Source organism: Homo sapiens, chromosome 5, assembly GCF_000001405.40.
Source record: "Homo sapiens chromosome 5, GRCh38.p14 Primary Assembly".
Classification (NCBI taxonomy): domain Eukaryota; kingdom Metazoa; phylum Chordata; class Mammalia; order Primates; family Hominidae; genus Homo; species Homo sapiens.
Window position 1 is genome coordinate 118,554,533 of NC_000005.10, and position 20,805 is coordinate 118,575,337.

Below are 20,805 nucleotides of genomic sequence, written 5' to 3' on the forward strand. Positions count from 1 at the left end.
CTATTTTAAGAAAAATAAATGAGTCATGTTCTATTGCTTCTCCAAATGTGAAAAAAAAATTTATATGAAAATATACACATTAAAATTCAATATACTGCCAATAAGATTCCTTTTCTGGGAGAGGGTTCTACCTGAGAACCAGGAAGAAAAACAAGAGATTTTACGGTAACACTATGTCAGTATCAAGGAAAGCTAGCAACAGAGCAAAAGAATCTCTGATGGCCTTCAGAGCTCTGAAAACCACTAGAAACCTTCCCATCTATGCAATAACAAGGCAAGGCAAGCAGTTATCACAAAGAAATACTGCAAGGCAAGGCTGCATTCTGATTCATGGTCTTTTGAATAACTAGATACTTGTCTCTAGACAAACACTAAACCTCTTTTGGTCTCATTTTTCTCATTTGTGTGCCATAAATAAGAATAGGTAATTCGTATGGTCCCTTCAGATTCAAAACAAAACTTCTGTGAAAGTTTATCACTTCCCTAGAAAAAGACCTTTGTGAGGTGTGGGTACCTGGTAGATCTAAAAGTCCAAGGACTGCACAAGCATGAATCGGATGGCCAGTCTTCCTGGGCAGCTACCATAGCCATAGTCCTTCAGTTGCACCTGGGAAACGATGTAATGGTGTAAATGCAGGGACCAGGAAACATGATTATATTACTTGGCAAACAGGTTTCTCAGGCATGTAGTCATTGTAATGTAAGCAGTAACCTCTGAAAGAACGTTTTTTTCCTTCAAAAATGTTTCCGTTTGTATTTATTCAGGAATTGAAAATATGAACATTTCACTTAGGACCACCTCAGATGATAAACATTTCTGGAAATTTTATTAACATTTGAAGCATTACTGTTAGAACAAACCAAATAATTAAATGGCAGAAGGTATATTACATCAGATCTGCTCATGCAGATTTTCAGGTAATCAAAACTCACTTTCAAACATTTTTTAAAAAATCAATGGATAAAGCAGAGAAGTCATTTCCTCTGAAAAAATTAGGCTTATATCTCTTCATGGGACTGAAGCTGGGCACTGTCATATGAATAAATAAGATCAATAATGGTACATCCATAAACAGCCACTCCTGGAATTTCAAGACCTTAGAAAATGTTGTAAACAGACACACAAACACAAACACAACACACACACACACACACACAAACACACATACGGTATTGAAATAAATATTTAAGCCATGCCTGCAAAGCCTTCAGCAACAGAGTTCATAATGGAAATGATAGACCTTTAATGATAGAAACATTAGCAGACCGTGTAAGAATATTGTAAATCATTTCTAAGTAACAATATTGATAAGACAAGCCTTTCAAAACCACCCAGGACACCTCTTTAGCTAATTAAAACCAGAGAGTGGCTATGGCTCTTTTGTCATTCACAATATTGTAGCTCTGATCATCCCACAGTGAATGATTTTACTTCAGTAATAACCCTGATCCAACATTCAGTTAGCAATTACCACATCAGACTTTATCTACTGGTAACAACTAGTTCGGAAGATATTGCCCTGCATGCATTAATTTCATCATGCTAATAAAGTTCCCTGTTATAAAATGCAAAAACATATTAACCTGTCTAATGCAATATAAGAAACATATATATCTTTCTTGCAAAATGATACACCAGCATTTCGTTTCTATTTCAAGACTTAAGTGGGTAAAGTATATTAGAACAGAAAGTAACAAGCTATAATCTTCAGTGAACACAATAACATAAATAAGTGCCAAAAAATTTTCCTGTAATTGCAGCTATTGTAATTTGTAAACATTCTATTACCTTGGAATTTGCATAACAATGCAAGACTGCTCATTTCTAAACACTGAACACTGAAATAGAAGTATATCCATCTCGTCTTTTCTGCAAAATTCAGGGAGGCCACTGCTGGCTCCAGTTAACTCTCTTGGAGCACCTAGCACATGTGGACCGATGGAAACATTTAATAAAGACGCAGACGTGACTGAAAATGACCAGCCAGGATCTCCAGGACACAATCTCTGTCATAGAGCAAGAAATCTATAAGGACTTGTTGAATGAAGTAGGAGGGGAGCTCTATTGTTTTACTCAAGAGTAATAAGCTCTATTTATAGGTCCAGGATCTATCCTGGAGACCCTTTTCCCTTCCGCCCTCCTTTTGCCCTCCTGAGCTTGTACAGGTACCATCTCTATGTCTAAGTGAGGAATTCAAAGCAGGGATGCCTCATTTTCCCCTTGATTAGCACCCCTCACCTCTACTTCACTAACTTTCGTGTCCTACATTGATGATGGGACAAATTGGCATGGTCTATTTCTTCCCCTTCAACCCCAAGTTCCCTACTGGCTTGTTCTGCTTTCAGAATATTAAATGTGAAGAGCTTACTAATTGTTAAAATCTCAGTGGAAAAATGAGTCATGTGACTAAAACTAATATGTGGCCTTTCTCTCTTCTGTCTCCAAGGACTCATCCAAAACTGTCAACTCTTTATTAAAGCAACGCCTTGACTTTCTAGAGAAAATGACTTCACGGTGTTACTGCCAACCGTGGGAAGCCCAGTCATTCTAACGAATTTTTTTAAGTGTCTGCAGCTTAATTAAACCCTAAGCAAATTAAACACATCACCCTCTTCTGCAGGTAAAGCAGAACGTTCATATACCCACTGTTGGGGCAGTTCAATGCATCTGTACACAAAGAGCCTGGCCTCTTCCCTGGAACACTGGTCAAAGGAAAGCATTGTACAAGCTAAAGCCCATCCCCATTCAGCACCTGGGGGTTTGTCCACACCAACCAGGCAGGATTGCTCAGCTCTCTAGGGAAATGTGGCATTCACACATACAATATAGTACTGGCTGGAGGCCTAGCAAACAGTCACAGAAGTGCGGAGGATTTATAGACTGAAAATGAGCACATAGACAGCAGCTCCGAGTTCTCTCAGAAAACATGTGTGCGGCGACTGAACTGTGGGAGGCCTATGTGGGGCCCCCAGAGCTTGGCAGAACCTCTAGTGGGGACCCAGTGTGTATGTGAACATATCAGAGCTATAAATCTGGTAACAAACACTCCTTTGTGACCTTATGAAGATTGTGAAAGACAAAGGCATTTTAAGATTGCAATGTCAGGAAAGAGGGAGGCCATTTGGAAAGCTGACTTTCATATTGCTGATTCTCAACTGCTTCTAGGCTTCTTGGGTATACGTAGAAAAAGCCAGAGTGGGGCTTCACCTACAGCCCCACAAGACAGCTATGTCCACAAGGCATGACCTTCTGGAGAGAGCCGCACCTCTGAAGGTGAACACATTAATTTGATGACAGTTTCTTGTTCAGTTCAAAACACTGGCCAAGGACATCCCTTTAAAATTTATAATGAAACTAAAAAAAAATTATCCAGCCAAAATTTTACCCCATTTCATTAAATTTTATAGTCTTCATTAATTACAGGGTCATACTCAGAAAGCAACAAGTAGGCTACAAGAAGGAAACAGGGGTGGAGGTGGCAGAGCCCAGTAGACAATTAATTGACTGTACTTTGCAATTCAGGACAAAACATTTTATTTACTTGTCCCAACACATACTTAGCCTGCCCTCTGGGCTTTCATAGCTCTTTCATTCTGGAATCCAATTCCAGAGTTTATGGCCTCCAAGGTTTATGGTCCTTCCCAAGGAAGCTCTCTTCACCTATTAATATGCATCATGGTTCTTCTTCTCAGAAGGGTGGTTCTTGTGAAAGCTAAGCAATTTTTATGTAATACACACCTGAATGGGAACTTTACAATGGATTTGGGTAAGACTTTTGTTTTTTGGTGTCAGTTTTACCTGTCGTTATTAAAGAGGTAAAGAAGAAAGAGGGGAAAGGAAGAGATAAAAATAATCCTACTGTAATTTTCATATCAAATAGAGTCCCCTATTGCTTGTCTTGTGGTTTCTGGGCAGACTATTGGTCTGAAATTCTAGACCATTAACAGTTCATTTGTCTATACTTAATTTTACAATGACACCAGAAAGAACAGCAAAAATAACAATGAAGAAAACTCACAGGCCTATTGCTCTGAAACTAAAGTTGCCAGTCATTTTATTTCCCAGCATTTCTCAAGCCCATTTCTTCATTCACCAGCAACTCACCCACCATTATTAGAGAGGATTTTTTACCACCCAGGAAAGCAAATGCTGTCATCCTGATTTTACTGCTCAGAAGATACTTGTCAATTAAAATCACCTCCAGGTCTTAGCTAGGAACAAAGACCAAATTCCAGAGATTCCCCTTGTCTTTCCCAAAATAGAGTTAGAGCTCATTTCCTAAATTTGTTCTGCCATTTACATTTGGCCACACTGCAACTTGTAGACATGGGGTTACTATTCACATATTAAAACTTGCTTATTTCCAAATAAACATCTGTAACTTTAAATGCTCATATAGCCACTATATAGATTTAACTAATTCTAAGATATATCTTATATCTTATGTAAGATATATCTTGAGTAAGCATATTAAACAAATGCCTTTTCAAGTAAGAACTATTTTCATTGCTGCCTTCTGGTTTCTGAGTCATCTCTGTCTCACTCTTATAACTACATGTCTCCCAAAAGCCACCTAGTACCATAACATACGTATATATTTATAAAATGCTAGTAACATTTCATTCCTGCCTCTTTGATATGAAGGTCTTGGAAATACATGTTTTCTCTGGACTGCTGTTTTTAACAATAATAGAAAGAAAGGAGTAATAACAATCATGGCAAATATTCCTTGAGTTTTCATAATGTACCAGGCACTGAGCTAAGCATCTTTCAACATACACAATCTCACTTAATTCTTAATACTCCTGTCTAGAAGGTAGGTACTATTATGATTATTACTATTTTTTACAGAGGAATAAACTAAGGCATTTGCCTGTGTTCCAGGGATAGCCAAGGATTCAAACTTACATCTTTCCAGTTTCAGCATCCAAGCTCTAAACTGCTATATACCAGGGCATAGAAATAGGACTACCAGCCATAGCTTTGATTCAGAGGAAAAAAAAAAACAAAAACATGGCACAAATGTGTATAACATATTTAGATAGTATAGTTTAAAACTACAAATATTTTTTCTCTTTGCCAGTATAATACATGCATAATTTGTGAATTAAAACTTAATTGAGCGCACCACAATTGGAAAATTACAAAATACTTAAAACTTACATCAATTCAGCCTCCATTCCATTATCAAGAGAGAGGCTGTTTATGCATTCCTATTCTGGCAATTAAGGACAACTATGTTTTCTAAAGTGAAGGTTATTTTGACTTTGATAAGTATATAGCTCACTGTCTGATCATAAAGGGCCAGAGCTGAAGATGAATAACAGAGTACTTTGTCCTTCACTTCAGGCATGATGGCTGGACCTCTGTGGTTGTAAATCTTCCAATATTTGATGGCCACAGTGTCAGCAGCAAAATGATGCATAATAAACACAACAATACATTATATGCCACTTCTTGATTTGGTGCCAAGTCAGGGAAGGAAACAGTCTACTTTTGAATGGGTGTTCTGAAATAATACATAGACAGTGTGTATTGGAGAGATCTGAAGAGGAAAACTCAAGCTGGTTTTTCATCCCACAGTCTCCAAACTATTATTCTTTGAAACTGACTATCTGGAGTGATGTGAACCCCTCTACCACCACTGTTGGGTTGATATCAGGAAGCACAGAGTCCACAGGCTTTCATCTAGCCAGGAAAAAGGAAACAGAGCTTATTTTGAACAGGAAGGAAAAAAGATATGTGATGAAAGTCAAAGAAACAAGCTGCCTAAATCCTTGACAAAGTAGAGATGAAAGGAATGAGCTTGTGAAATAATGTGGATACCTAAAAATCATGTTTCAATCATGTTTTTAATTGTCCATTCTATCCAGAACGTTTGTTGCAAAGTCTAAAACCTTCCTTTACAATGAAAAGAGAAAATACCGTTCTAAGGCATGCATCTATAAAACGGTATTTCTCAGGCACTAAGGAAAATGCAAGCTCTAGAAAAGGAGTGATGTGGGAGAGGCACACATGGCTTCAACTGTGACAGCTGTCTCCCCATGCAACCAAATCAGAGACTGCTGGTGCAAGTGGGGACCTCAGAAGTCACTGGGTCCAACCCTGACTTTTTATAGATGACAGGCTTAAAACTGTTAAGTAACGTGCCCAAGGTCATGCTTGGGGTTGTATTGTCTGAATAACAAATGGCAAATGGACAAAAACAAAAGAGATCATAGTCTAAGTTACTCAAAGACTTTCTATAAGGAAAATGGTGGTAATTATGGTCCCTAAGTCCACTTATCTACCAAAGCTTAATATAAGACATCCAAGAAATATATATAGATACATATATAATCTATATATGTATGATTGTGTGTGTATACATATATGTATAGATATGTATATGTGTGTGTATATATATATATATACACACACACACATTTCCTAAAGCAGGAATTTTTTTTTTAAATCAGATATTCTGTGAGACATACTTGCTTTATTCAGTATCAGTTTAGGGTTTCTCACTCAGTTGTTCTTTCTAGAAAGGATATTTGTAAAGTCCAGGATTTATTCTCAAGGAGTAAAAGCAAAACCAAACATTTGTGTCCCTTTCATTTGAATCTCATGTCGAGTCTGTAAGTGCAAAAGCACTTACATATCAGTCAACCAAATTCTTACTGTCAAATCTAGATGTACAGAGCTTGCAATAGAGAAATGTAGATACTTTCTAGTTTCTCTGCATTCTACCATCTTACCCCAGGAGCTCAAAAATGACTCTACCCTTTTCTGGAAAATAGTACAAAGGAAAATTCCTGGGTTGTTTGGCTTCTCATAGTCCCAGAACTTGGGCTATATCTGAAAGTTCCAGTTGACATCTGTCCAGCACTGAACACTGGCTCCAATTCACAAGATGGCCTACCCAAGACTAATCTCCATCTACAAGTACCCTTGGAAGATGGGATGGACTCCATACAGGCCAGAGGCTGTGCATGCTCCCTGCAAATCTTGGAACTTCACCCAGGAAACATTAAGGTGGACATTCAAAATGGTAAAAAGACTCCTTCTGGCCTAAGCATCCCCTCACACACCTCTCAATGCCATAACTTACCCATAAAACAATCAGAGTTCAAGACGATAATTATTTCCCTAAGGCCAAGTTCACTATGATCTGGTCTCCAAGAACTTCTCGTTATTATCAACTACTGTGGGCCAATCCCAACTATATAATCTTTATAAGTGTTATATTCATTCATATTTCTATAAGTAATATATCTTCTTATTGCCTGCACCCTGGGCAAATTGCCTTCATATTTCCCACTCCCACCCCAGCCTGGAGAAATAGGCAACATTCAAATTGTTCTCTCAGCCCTCATCCCTCTAATGATCACCAACAAAATCCTACCTGCAACCAGGACTCTCACTTCGGAGTATAGTTTCTGAGATAAATCAAAATTTTTCTTCTCCTTCTTCCCATCCTTTCTTGGTCTTCATTTCATACAGATAATAGCATGTAGAAAAAACATGAAAGGAAAAGTGATATTCACTGAAGAGCAACTCAAGGCATATGTGTGGACACAGGGAGAGGCAACCCCTCCCAATCGGGTGGGTGTGGGTGATAGGTCATGTGTGTATAACCTCAGATCTTTGTTAGCACCAGCAGCTGGAACACACTTCTCTCTACAAATAGCAGGCTCCTGGAGTTTCTCAGCATCAGCAACAAGAGAACCTGTCAAAGAAGTGGGCCGGAGATATCGCCCTGCTTCTCATACACATAACTGAAAAAAAAGCAAAAGAAAAATATCATTTCACTGCCAGCCTAGTTTGAGTCTATATATATATATATATATATATATATATATAGTATATATATATATATATATATATACTATATATATATATATATATATATATATATATAGACTCATATATATATATATGGGGGGCAATTATGTGTACCGGACTACAGTACTGGCCAGACCCCATGAACACCTAAGGATGAATGAGGCCCAGCCCCGCCCTCACGGATATAACAATTTAGACAGAAAGATTTACATAAACGTTCATATGACTAGCTACAAATTCCTAAGCCAATGTCCAAATTAATGTACCAAGAACAACCCTAAAATAGAATAATTTTTATTTTTTCTTTTAAATAAATATTCCACGTGAAAGCTATCTATTTCAAAACACTTGCCATAATAAGGCAACACATTCTAATTCACAGTTCTGTTTTTCAAGTTTTGAATCTCATTGTAACTGCTTTCTGAGTAGTTGCGCAAGGAGGGGGGAAAACAGGAGTGGGGAAGGGAGGAGTATTTTCTCCCTAAAATTGTTTAGAATTATAGACTTGTGATGGTAATACAAAAGACACTGTATCTTAATCAGTTCTATTTCTTTAAACATTTCTATAGACAATATATCTTCTTATTGCCTGCACCCTGGGTAAACTGCCTTCATATCCCCCGCTGCCCAGCCTCTGCCTGCCACTGTTTCTGAAGGGTGTATTCATCCCAATAGGCTCAATGATGTCCAATCTATTCTTTTCACCAGATGCAGAGTCAAATCTAATGAATAAAACAGAGGGTCAAGCCTGGCAATACTACTATAGGGCAGAAAGCAAGTATGGCTTTACACTGAGAGTGTGGTTGTCAAATGCTGCCCCTGACAGCAATACCACCAGAAGAATCACTTCAATGTTTTAAGCAAAAACAGAATTGTTGAAATAGGTGTATAATCTCCTATGTTAATCTAGGCAGACCATGAACAAAAGACTGCAAAATCTCAGTGATACAATGCAAAAAAAAAAAAAATCAATTTCTCACCCCTGCTGTATTTTTCACATGGATTATCACAAGGACTCTACTCCTTGTGATATCGCACAGGTCTAGGCTGACACAAGCCCCATCTCAACATTTGCTTCCATGATGGTGGTGGCAGTGTAAGTGGATCTTTTAAAGCTTTCTCCTGGGAGTGACACAAGTCACGTCTGCTCACATTCCATTAGTTAAATAAAGTCACATGGCATACCCAACTTCCACAGTGTTGGAGGAGTAGAACCGTGCCAGGTTTTTGGCAGGAGAAAGGCCAGAATATTGGTGGGTAGCCTCTGACTAACGCCTCCCATGTATTATCATTCCTTAAAGAGGCCAAGAATCATTTGCATGTAAATTTTGGAAAATTAGTTTTAAAAAACATCCTCACTATTATATGGTCACTACCATGTGTTAGATTTCTTTACATGCCAGAGCTACAACACAGTTGAAGAAGCCATTTATTTTTATTTTTATTTATTTATTTTTTTACCCAGGCTGGAGAGCAGTGTTTTCATCTGGGCTCACTGCAACCTCCGCCTCCCAGTCTCAAGCAATTCTGCTGCCTCAGCCTCGAGGTACCTGGGACTACAGGTACACACCAATACGCCTGGCTAATTTTTTTTTTTTTTTTTTTTTTGGTTGAGCTGAGATTTTGCCATATTGCCCAGGCTATTCTTGGACTCCTAGGCTCGAGTGATCCACCCACCTTGGCCTCCCAAAGTGCTAGGATTACAGGCGGAAGCCACCACACCCAGCCTCAAGAAGCCATCTTAATGCTTGTGGTTCACTTGTAAGGTGCAGGCAGGTTTGTGAGAGGCATCTGTATGACTGACAGGGGATGCAGCGTGGCATAAAGGAGGTAGGAAGGAAGCTGCCATTCCAGGTGGACTCACCTGTGCCAAGCACTGCTTTACACTGTACACACAGTATCTCATTTACTCATCCCAACAGCCCTGCAAGGTAGGTGTCACTATCCTCATTTAAAAACTGACAGAAATGGAGACATAGCTTAAAATACACTGTGCCAGCCAATGTCATGGGTAATAATGTTCAAACTCAGATCTGCCTAGTTCCAGAAGCCATGGAGTGGGTCACGTGAGGAAGTCCAAATGATACAAATTCCCTTATTACTTTATCTGCATCCCTTTTATAGCCCTTCTAATGAGGCAACTGATTTTAAAATGAGAATGTGCTAAGCTCTCTAAGAATAGGGACTTAGCTCCATTCATCTTTGTCTGACTGGTAATGACTAGCAAATACTCTAGCACATAGTAGGTGCTCAAGAAAATATTAATTGTTAAATGCATGTTGAAAGTCAAGGCTATGCTCCAAAGCAATATTCCCTTTCTCTTCTCCTGCACAGCACATGAAAGGAGATTGACAAGATGAAATGTTTCCTTAGTGATTCTCAAGAAAGGCAAAGCTGTCAACATTTTCTTTTGTCAAGAGTGTTCACTAAGCAAGAAAATAGAGAGTAGCTCCCACAACGCAGACCTGAACGTGAAGATAATGGTCAGCAGGGCTCTGCAAGCTGTCTGAGTTCCCACTCCCAATAAGCTTTCGATAGGAACTTGCCTGCCAGAGAAACAGAGGGAACCTCATTTTGCTAGGAGACAACACACAGCTGCATAGTTCCATACTCCGCTTAATCCCAGAGACAAATTCACAAGTTGTCCTAAATGTATCACTCTACTGGGAACTCTTTTTTCTTTTCTATTTCCAACCAGTGTCTGCCATTTGATATATCACAAATAAATCATGTTTCTCTCTGTCTGTCTGACACACACACACACACACACACACACACACACACAGGCACACACAGAAATACACACACAACCTTTCTATCTTAAAAAGGTTACATTCATTTTGGGTCTCCTCTAAAACTGCCATGCAGGCCACTGGAAGTCACAACATGATATTGTTTCTTTACAAAGATACTATGATTTTCTCCTGTGGTGAAGGATTACTGCGGGCACAGCTCCATCCAAGAATCCTTTCTAAGCTTTTTCTTTTAAGCACATAAGCTATGCTTTTAATTGGGCATTTCATTAGAGTAGAATGAGGCGTAAAGGAAAACAAAATGGTCTGTAGTCATTTGTTTCAAGGAGATCATTCCAGTCATCAACGTCTGAACCCTGCCGAAGTCGTTTCAATTTTTCTTCTCAACCATGGATAAAGCAATGTTGACAACACATATTTCTCTCTGTCAAAACATTCCACTTACTTGGCAATCTATAGACAGTTTGAGAGTCGTAGCACCAACAAGCAGCGCTGGAGCATTCTTCCTATTATTTTAAAATCAAAATGGCACGTGCCTCGTGAGAGGGTTACCATGTGGGCCGAGATCCAAATTGAAAAGAAAAACGCTAACAGAGTCAGCAAGTAAACAGGGCACTGTAAATAACAAGCCTCATTACTTAGCCACAGAGAAAGATGGGCCAGCCTGCGTCCCATTTCATTGTGAGGGCTTGATCCTGTTGCCCTTAGATTTCAGTCTCCTGGGAGGCCACTCCGGGATTTCTGTGAGATGTGTGCTCAGTTAAAGTACCAAGCTTAGGTTCACAATTGTGAAACATGTTTCATACCATGGGATCTAAGTAAATGATGATTTTTGGCTGGGAGTGAGCAGAGGAAAAAGTAAAATCACTGGTTAAAGAATTGTATCCAAATACCAGAGAAAGATGGGCCCTCTAGATGTGCCTTACATAGGACAAAGAACGGGAGACCAAAATTAGACACACACTGACAAAACTGCTTATGGATCCCACAGATGACTATGGTGTAATCATCTCAAAGTGACTCATTTTCAGTGAGAAATATTTAAAAGAAATAATGCTGGAGAAAATGGCAACGTGCTGCCCAATAATGGCCTCAGGCTGCAAGATAGATACTGCAGGGCATCCAGGCCACAGCACTGGCAGAAAACAAACATTGAAGCAAAGCTGAAACACTTATTGTCAAGGCCAGAGAACATTTACCAGTCAGGAGGTTCAGATTCATGGGCATTATTGTTAAAGCTCGTGGGAGAAATACACCCAAAAAGCAGCAAAGAGAGTCGATAAAAACCCTCCAAGCAATCACCAGCTCACCAATCGGCAGCCACACATCTCCCCAGGCTCTCAGGGGAGAAGGCACTTTACCAATTACTGCTGATTGGCTGGGTTAGTGAAATTGCTCAGACCTCCTACCATTCACCTCCAGCCTATCTTTCAATATATCTTGCTGGGGTTTGCTGAACTTATTTTCATCCATTTATAAAAGGTCAACTAGGCTATGTGTTGACTTGACAGTAGTAAGTGCTTCTCCTATAATCCCTGATGATATTAGTCTGGCGGGGTTTCACAAGTGTGCGGTTGATCTTTCTTAAAAAATTCCATGATTTGCGAAGTTGGTACCAGCTGTTATCACTTTAATAGAGATCACTGTATAATTTCAAAATATCTTACTTTCTCTAAAACTATTCTGATGCTCAAAACTGTCTGGAGCTCAGAAATGTGCTTCTTGCTTCTGTCTCTTAAATGGATGGGTTAATTAACTGCAGTCATCATGCCATTAAGCTGGGCTATGACCCAGGGATCAGGCTTTACCAAAGCCGCTGCGTTCCGGAATGTTCCTATAGACACACACAGGTATGGACAAGGGGGTATGTGATGATTAATATTGAGTGTCAACTTGACTGAAGGATGCAAAGTATTGTTCAAGATGTGGTTTCATTGCTTGAGCAAATTAACACATCTCCTGGTACCTGGTATGCAGCCATTGATTTGGCAAATGACTTTTTCTCCATGCCTGTCCATAAGGCCCACCAGAAGCAATTCGCCTTCAGCTGACAAAGCCAGCAATATATCTTTGCTGTCCTACCTCAGGGGTATATCAACTCTCTGGCTTTGTGTCATAATCTTGTTTGGAGAGAACTTGATCACTTTTCCCTTCCACAAGATATCACACTGGTCCATTACATTGATGACATTACGCTGATTGGACCCAGTGAGCAAGAAGTAGGAAACACACTGGACTTACTGGTGAAATATTTGCTTGCCAGACGATGGAAAATAAATCCGAATAAACTTCAGGGAGCTTCTACCTCAGCAAAATTTCTAGGGGTCCAGTGGTGTGGGGCCTGTCCAGATATTCCTTCTAAGGTGAAGGATAAGTTGCTGCATTTAGCCCCTCCTACAACCAAGAAAGGGGCCCAACGCCTAGTGGGCCTATTCGGATTTTGGAAAAAACACATTCCTCATTTAGGTGTGTTACTCTGGCCCATTTATCAAGTGACCTGAAAGGCTTCCAGTTTTGACTGGGGTCCAGAACAGAAGAAGGCTCTGCAGCAGGTCCAGGCTGCTGTGTGAGCTGCTCTGCTACTTGGGCCATATGATCCAGCAGATCCAATGGGACTTGAGGTGTCAGTGCCAAATAGGGATGTTGTTTGGAACCTTTGGTAGGCCACCATAGGTGAATCATAGCAGATATCTCTAGGATTTTGGATAAAGGCCCTGCCACCTTCTGCAGATAACTACTCTCCTCTAGAGAGACAGCTCTTGGTCTGTTACTGGGCTTTGGTAGAAACTGAATGTTTGACTATGGGTCATCAAGTCACTGTGTGACCTGAACTGCCTATCATGAACTGGGTGCTTTCTGACCCATCTAGCCATAAAGTGGGTTGTGCACAGCAGCATTCCATTATCAAATGGAAGTGTTATATACGTGATTGGGCTCAAGCAGGTCCTGAGGGCACAAGTAAGTTACATGACGAAGTGGCTCAAATGCCCATGGTCTCCACTCCTGCCATACTGCCTTCTCGCCCTCAGCCTGCACCAATAGCCTCAGGGGGAGTTCCCTATGATCAGTTGACAGAGGAAGAGAAGACTAGGGCCTGATTTACAGATGGCTCTGCATGATATGCCGGCACCACCTGAAAGTGGACAGCTGCAGCACTATAGCTCCTTTCTAGGACATCCCTGAAGGACAGTAGAGAAGGGGAATCTTCTTCCCAGCGGGCAGAACTTCAAACAGTGCACCTGATTGTGCACTTTGCTTGGAAGGTGAAATGGCCAGATGTGCGATTATATACTGATTAACGGGCTGTAGCCAATGGTTTGGCTGGATGGTCAGGGACTTGGAAGAATCATGACTGGAAAATTGGTGACAAAGAAATTTGGGGAAGAGGTATGTGGATGGACCCCTCTGAGTGGTCAAAAACTGTGAAGATATTTGTATCTCATGTGATTGCTCACCAAAGGGTGAACTCAGCAGAGGAGGATTTTAGTAATCAAGTGAATAGGATGACTCGTTCTGTGGACACCACTCAGCCTCTTCCCCAGCAACCCCTGTTATCACCCAATGCCCAATGGGTCCATGAACAAAGTGGCCATGATGGCAGGGACGGAGATTAAGCCTGAGCTCAGCAACGTGGACTTCCACTCACCAAGGCTGACCTGGCTACGGCCAGTGCTGAGCACCCAATTTGCCAGCAGCAGCACAGACCAACACTGAGCCATTGATATGGCACCATTCTTCGGGGTGATCAGCCAGCTACTTGGTGGCAGGTTGATTATATTAGACCTCATCCATCATAGAAAGGGCAGCAGTTTGTCCTCACCAGAATAAACGCTTACTCTGGATATGGGTTTCCATATCCTGCACGCAGTGCTTCTGCCAAGACTACCATTCATGGACTCACAGAATGCCTTATCCACCGTCATGGTATTCCACACAGCATTGCCTCTGACCAAGGCACTTACTTTACAGCTAAAGAAGTGCAGCAGTGGGCTCATGCTCATGGAATTCACTGGTCTTACCATGTTCCCCATCATCCTGAAGCAGCTGTATTGATAAAACAGTGGAATGGCCTTTTAAAGTCACAATTACAATGCCAACTAGGTGACAATACTTTGCAGGCCTGGGGCAAAGTTCTCCAGAAAGCCGTTTATGCTCTGCATCAGCATCCAATATCTGGTACTGTTTCTCCCATAGCCAGGATTCATGGGTCAAGGAATCAAGGGGTGGAAGTGGAAGTGGCACCACTCACCATCACCCCTAGTGACCCACCGGCAAAATTTTGCTTCCTGTTCCCACAATATTACGTTCTGCTGGCCTAGAGGTCTTAGCTCCAGAGGGAGGAATGTTGCCACCAGGAGACACAACAATGGTTCCATTACACTGGAAGTTAAGATTGCCACCTGGCCACTTTGGGCTCCTCCCACCTCTAAGTCAACAGGCTAAGAAGGGAGTTACAGTGTTGGCTAGGGTGGTTGACCAGGACTATCAAGATGAAATCAGTCTACTACTCCACAAAGGAGGTAAGGAAGAGTATGTGTGGAATACAGGAGATCCCTTAGGGCATCTCTTAGTATTACCATAACCTGTGATTAAGGTCAATGGGAAACTACATCAGCCCAATCCAGGCAGGACTACAAATGACTCAAAACCTTCAGGATGAAAGTTTGGGTCACTCCATCAGGTAAAAAACCACATCCTGCTGAGATGCTTGCTGAAGGCAAAGGGAATACAGAATGCGTATTAGAAGAAGGTAGTCATTAATACCAGCTATGACCACATGACCAGCTGCAGAAACAAGGACTGTAATTGTCATGAGTATTTCCTCTTTATTTTGTTAAGAACATGTTTGTGCATGTATATACTTGTAATATGAAAATATCTTCATTTTATTTCTTTTTCCTTTATCATGTGACATAAGATTTATTGACTTTATATCACCATGTACATGTTGTTAATTTTATGTAATAGCATTTAGGTTAAGGATTAGTGGGCTTCCAGTTGTATGAAGGATAGCTGTATTATATTAGGCAAAATTATGACCTTACTGTCTTTATTTGAAGATTATGTATGATTTCAGGAGATGTGTATGGGTTGAAGTTGACAAGAGGTGGACTTGTGATAGTTAGTACTGAGTGTCAGCTTGATTCAATTGAAGGACGCAAAGTATTTTTCCTGGGTGTGTCTGTGAGGGTGTTGCCAAAGGAGATTAACATTTGAGTCAGTGGACTGGGAGAGGCAGACCCACCCTCAGTCTGGGTGGGCACCATCTAATCAGCTGCCAGAGCACCCAGAATAAAAGCAGGCAGAATAATGCGGAAAGACTAGACAGCTTTATCTTCTGGCCTACAACTTTCTCCCATGCTGGATGGTTCCTTCCCTTAAACATGGGACTCCAAGTCCTTTAGCTTTAGGACTCTGGACCTTTGACCACAGACTAAAGGCTGCACTGTCAGCTTCCCTATTTTTGAGGTTTTGGGACTCGGACTGGCTTCCTTGCTCCTCAGTTTGCAGGTGGCCTATTGTGGAACTTCACCTTGTAACTGTGTGAGTCAATTCTCCTTAATAAACTTTCCTTTATACATACATCTATCCTATTGTGTCCCTGTAGAGAACCCTGACTAACACAGCATACCTTGGCAATTTTCTCTTTTCTTTTTTTTTTTTTTTTTTTTTTGAAACAGAGTCTTGCTCTGTCACCCAGGCTGGAGTGCAGTGGCACAATCTCAGCTCACTGCAGCCTCCGCCTCCCAGGTTCAAGCGATTCTCCTGCCTCAGCCTCCCAAGTAGCTGGGATTACAGGTGTGCACCACAACGCCCGGCTAATTTTTGTATTTCTAGCAGAGATGGGGTTTCACCATGTTGGCCAGGGTGGTCTCAAACTCCTGACCTCAGGTGATCTGCCCACCCTGGCCTCCCAAAGTGCTGGGATTACAGGTGTGAGCCACCGCGCCCAGACTTCATTCTCTCATGAGGAGGAACAATTGGATAGTAACTAACTGGTGGGGCAGAAGGTGGTGGCCACTTAAACGCCACTCATACAGTTTGAGTTAATTTGGGAATTCAATAGCAAAGGCAAAGGTAAGGGAGAACAGTAAAAATTAAGAAGTTAATTAAAAAATAATTAATAGTTTAATTAAGTCCCACCTATTTATCTCATACACATAAATGAGTAAATACTGCTATGTCCCAATAAACATTATTAACACTAAAATTTGAATTTCACGTAATTTTTATGTATCCCTGTATATTGCTCTTCCTCTGTTGTTGTTTTTTTTTCAATCATCTAAAAATGTAAAAATCATTCTTAGCTCTGGGGCCATGCCAAACAGGCAGTAGGCTGGATTTCACCCACAGACCAAATTTTGCTGACCCCTGTCCTAAAAAACTGAGACTGACCATGAGTGTATGTGTGTGTGCATGCACACATGCAAATGTGTTAAACTAGATCTGAAGACAATTCCAAAGAAGCTCCTATGTGTTTAGCAGGAGTGATCTCATTGCAAAAAGATGATAGCTTCCCAACTGATTATACTGAAATGAAAAAATTATTGCAATACATAAGCTCCTTGGGGGCAGAGACTATGTCTTACACATTTTAGTTTTCCTCACTTGCCTTACAAATAGTCCACATTCAATTTATTTTTTGTCAATTGAATGCGTTTTAATGAGTTTGTTAAAAGCCATCTCATTATGTGATAGTCATCCCTTGAATACTAACTAATAATTCAATGATTTCTGAACAATTTAGATCAATATACTTTTAAAAGAGTATTAAAATATTATCCAACAGTAACATTTGATTTATTCCTTAGCAATTTCAAACTGCAAAATTATGTTTTAAAAACATCTTATAATTACTGGAAAACTAAAATCATTCATTCCTGTTCCTACCATGCTATCAAAAGTATAGTTGACAGACAATAGGAATATACTATTCCAGCTTCAAGCTTCCAATCACGTTACATAGCCCTATATGTGAGATGAAGTCAAAAGATAAATCGGGTTTTGACTCAACATCCACACTCTTTCTACAGACTTTTAGTGTGACCCTCACTCAGAGTCAGAACTATAGATGCCTCAGAAAGTATATACAGCATCTCAACGTCTCAGGCTGATAAGCTCAACACAAGAAACACAAAAAGAAGAGAAAGTCTTGGGTTCTTTCAGTTTCAGGACTTTCACCTTTATCCTAAATTTGGTAGAATGGATCTTAGATCATTTTCTGAAAGATATTTTAGAAGACAAGCTGGGCCCATCAAAATGTTGTCAAAACCTCTCACTTCCTCTCATTTTCCTTTTCCCCTCTCCCTCCCTTTCCCTACTCACTCCCCATAAATACACACACACACACACACACACACACACACACACATATACACACACATGTACATAGACATAAATATATACTTTCTTCCCAGGATGACCAACCTATTATGAAGCTTTCTTAGAAAGTTTCTCTCAGATGCAATTTGGGCCTTGCAAATATTCCGTACAGCACAAGAGGAAGCCATACAAGCCATGCTCCTCCTAAAGAACACTGCCAGTCATTACCATAGAACCTGCTTCACATAGCAACACTCAAGCACATGATGCGGCTTTACATCAGAGAGCCATCCTTAGCTAGTCAACCCAGCCTCCATTTCAGACCAAACTGAAAACCTCTGCACACCTGTGAGACTCACATCCACTCACCCTCACCATATCATACTAGGGAACTTCCAACAACACCCCCGCAGGGAACACCCATGTGTGGTCCTGAGCAAATGGTCAGCTGACTTTACCATATCAGGGAGGGCCACGAGCCAGTCTACAGTGGCTGAATTCCATGTGTGGAGGACAGGCGACAGCGACGGACACCGCAGGGTCTCCTGACAGGGCAGCCTGCTTCCACTTCTGTTTCATACATTCAGGTCTCCACACAGCAGCCAGAGCATGATACTCAAAGCACACACTAGTTCATGCCACTCCCGTTGTCAAAATTTCCCAATGGGGATTTTGGGCTTTCCATTATTCTTAGGATTAAACTTCAAACCTGTCAGCAGAATGAGCTGGATTCTTCTCCACACCCCGGTAGGCTGGCCCACAGGTCTGCATCAATGGGCTCCTCTGCATTCCTGTTTCTGGTTGGCTTGGCCAGTGGGAGGTACCTTATGGGAGTTCCAGAACATGGAGTAAATAAAGGTCTGGTTTTTCCCAGCTTCCTTCTGGTGGTTCACTACAGTTTGGCTGCGTCCCTCCACGGTCAGAAACTGACTCCTTCCCTTGCCCATTTCCCATCCCCAGCTCTGGGGTACTGCACTAATTGTTGCTTTTCCTAAAACACGGCCCACATCAAAATACTCTCCAGGTTACCCAATTTGATTATGTCTTTGGTTTCCTGCCAGAACTCTGGCCAGTGCATGTGGCCTATATGCCCTCTAAATGATCAGACTTCTGCCTCCCACTTTAGCTTTTTCTTATTAAACCCACTCTCACTCATTTACTCCCAGACTCCCTAGCCTTTTCTCCAGTCCTCAAATAACCCAAGCCTGTCCCTATATCTGGGCTTTTGTCTTTGCCCAGACTATCTCCTTCCCCCACTGCCGTTTTCCTGCTGGCTCCTTTTAATCACTCAGGGAGAAGCTAAAACTGTCCCTCCTTGGGCCTTCCAGACACCTCCAATCTCTAGATGATCATGCTGCCATTTATTTAATTGAATACAATACTATCTGAAATCATCTTTTTCATTTCTTTATTTTTTATTTTATTCCCTATTCAACTTTTGTTTTAAGTTCAGGGGTACATGTGCAGGTTTGTTACATAGGTAAACTTGAGTCATAGGAGTTTGTTGTACAGATTATTTTGTCACCTGGTTATTAATCCTAGTACCCATTATTTTTCCTGATCCTCTCCCTCCTCCCATCCTCCCATCTATTTTTAATTCCTCCACCCTCAAGTAACCCCCAATGTCTATCATTCCCCTCTGTGTGTCCTTGTGCTCTCAACATGCAGTATTTGCTTTTCTGTTCCCATGTTCGTTTGCTAAGGATAATGGCCTCCAGCTCCATCTATGTTCATGCAAAGGACATGATCTTGTTCTTTTCGATGGCTGCATAGTATTCCATATTGTATATATACCACATTTTCTTTATTTAATCTGTCATTATTGGGCATTCTGGTTGTTTCCATGTCTACGCTATTGTGAATAGTGCTGCAATGAACATACTCATGCATGTGTCTTTATGATTTACTTTCTGTTTCTATGGCATGTACATCCTGGAACAGCAAGAATCTTTTCTGTCTTGTTTACCCCTCTAAACTCAGAACCCAGAACTATTCTTGACATACAAAAATAATAATGCAAAATCATTTTCCATTGAATTAATAAATAGCATCTAATATGTTCCACATCTACCATGGGAGAGTAGACTGTAACTAGAGTAGCCAAGTAGAAGAAAAACATTAAACACATACGTAAACTTTAGTCTCCCAAGAGTGGCAAATTATTATTATTTTAATTATCAATTTTTTCAGTTAATAAGTGCCAGTTATTGAGAAAATAATAGTAAGCAAAATAGACCTGACCCCTGCCTGCGTAGGGCTCCCAGAAATTTGGGAAGAGAGATAATTAAATAAGGAATTAAGAATATACAGCTCCCCTCTGAAGTAACTGGTGATTTGTAGAAAGAGCACCTCCTCTTATCCTGAGAGGGCCATGAAGAATAAAAATGTAGGGACTTCTAGACTGAACTGCTCTGACAGACCACAGATACTGTCAACAGGCAGAGTGGCAGAGGAAACCAAAGCTTTGCAAACAAATTCTATACCATACGTAATGAGACAGGCTATAAAGTGTATTTCCATATTCCATCCACACTTGACCCAGGATCTCCACACCTGGGAGCCTCATATTTACTGATGATGAAGCTCCTTTTCTAAATCTTTCTTATTCATATGTCTTAGCTCCAACTCTCTTGTTAACTCTTTTAGAACAGGAGTTATGTCTTATCTCCCTCTTCACAAGCCACACAATCCAATGTAGTAAAGGAAACAAATAGTCTCCCTTGTCCATCTTCACCCAAAGTAATAAAATGGCTGAGAACAAAAGGTGCATTACACAAAGCCAATGATACACACAGCCTTGATAGCCTATCTAAAAGTAACGAGCTGAGTCTGGTAATTCTTTTTAAGAATTAATAGAAACATTATACTACTATATTGAAATATTCAATACTTAGAAACAAG

The 20,805-nt window shown here is 40.6% G+C and overlaps 1 long non-coding RNA gene across 1 annotated transcript in view; it reads right to left on the bottom strand.

Moving 5' to 3' along the window:
* LINC02208 (long intergenic non-protein coding RNA 2208) overlaps positions 1–7,585 on the bottom strand; it is a 211,152-nt gene extending 203,567 nt beyond the window's left edge. The window contains exon 1 of the long non-coding RNA NR_104610.1: positions 7,389–7,585. This is a non-coding gene — a long non-coding RNA (long intergenic non-protein coding RNA 2208). The remainder of the gene's footprint in view (positions 1–7,388) is intronic.
* Positions 7,586–20,805: the final 13,220 nt, after the last annotated feature.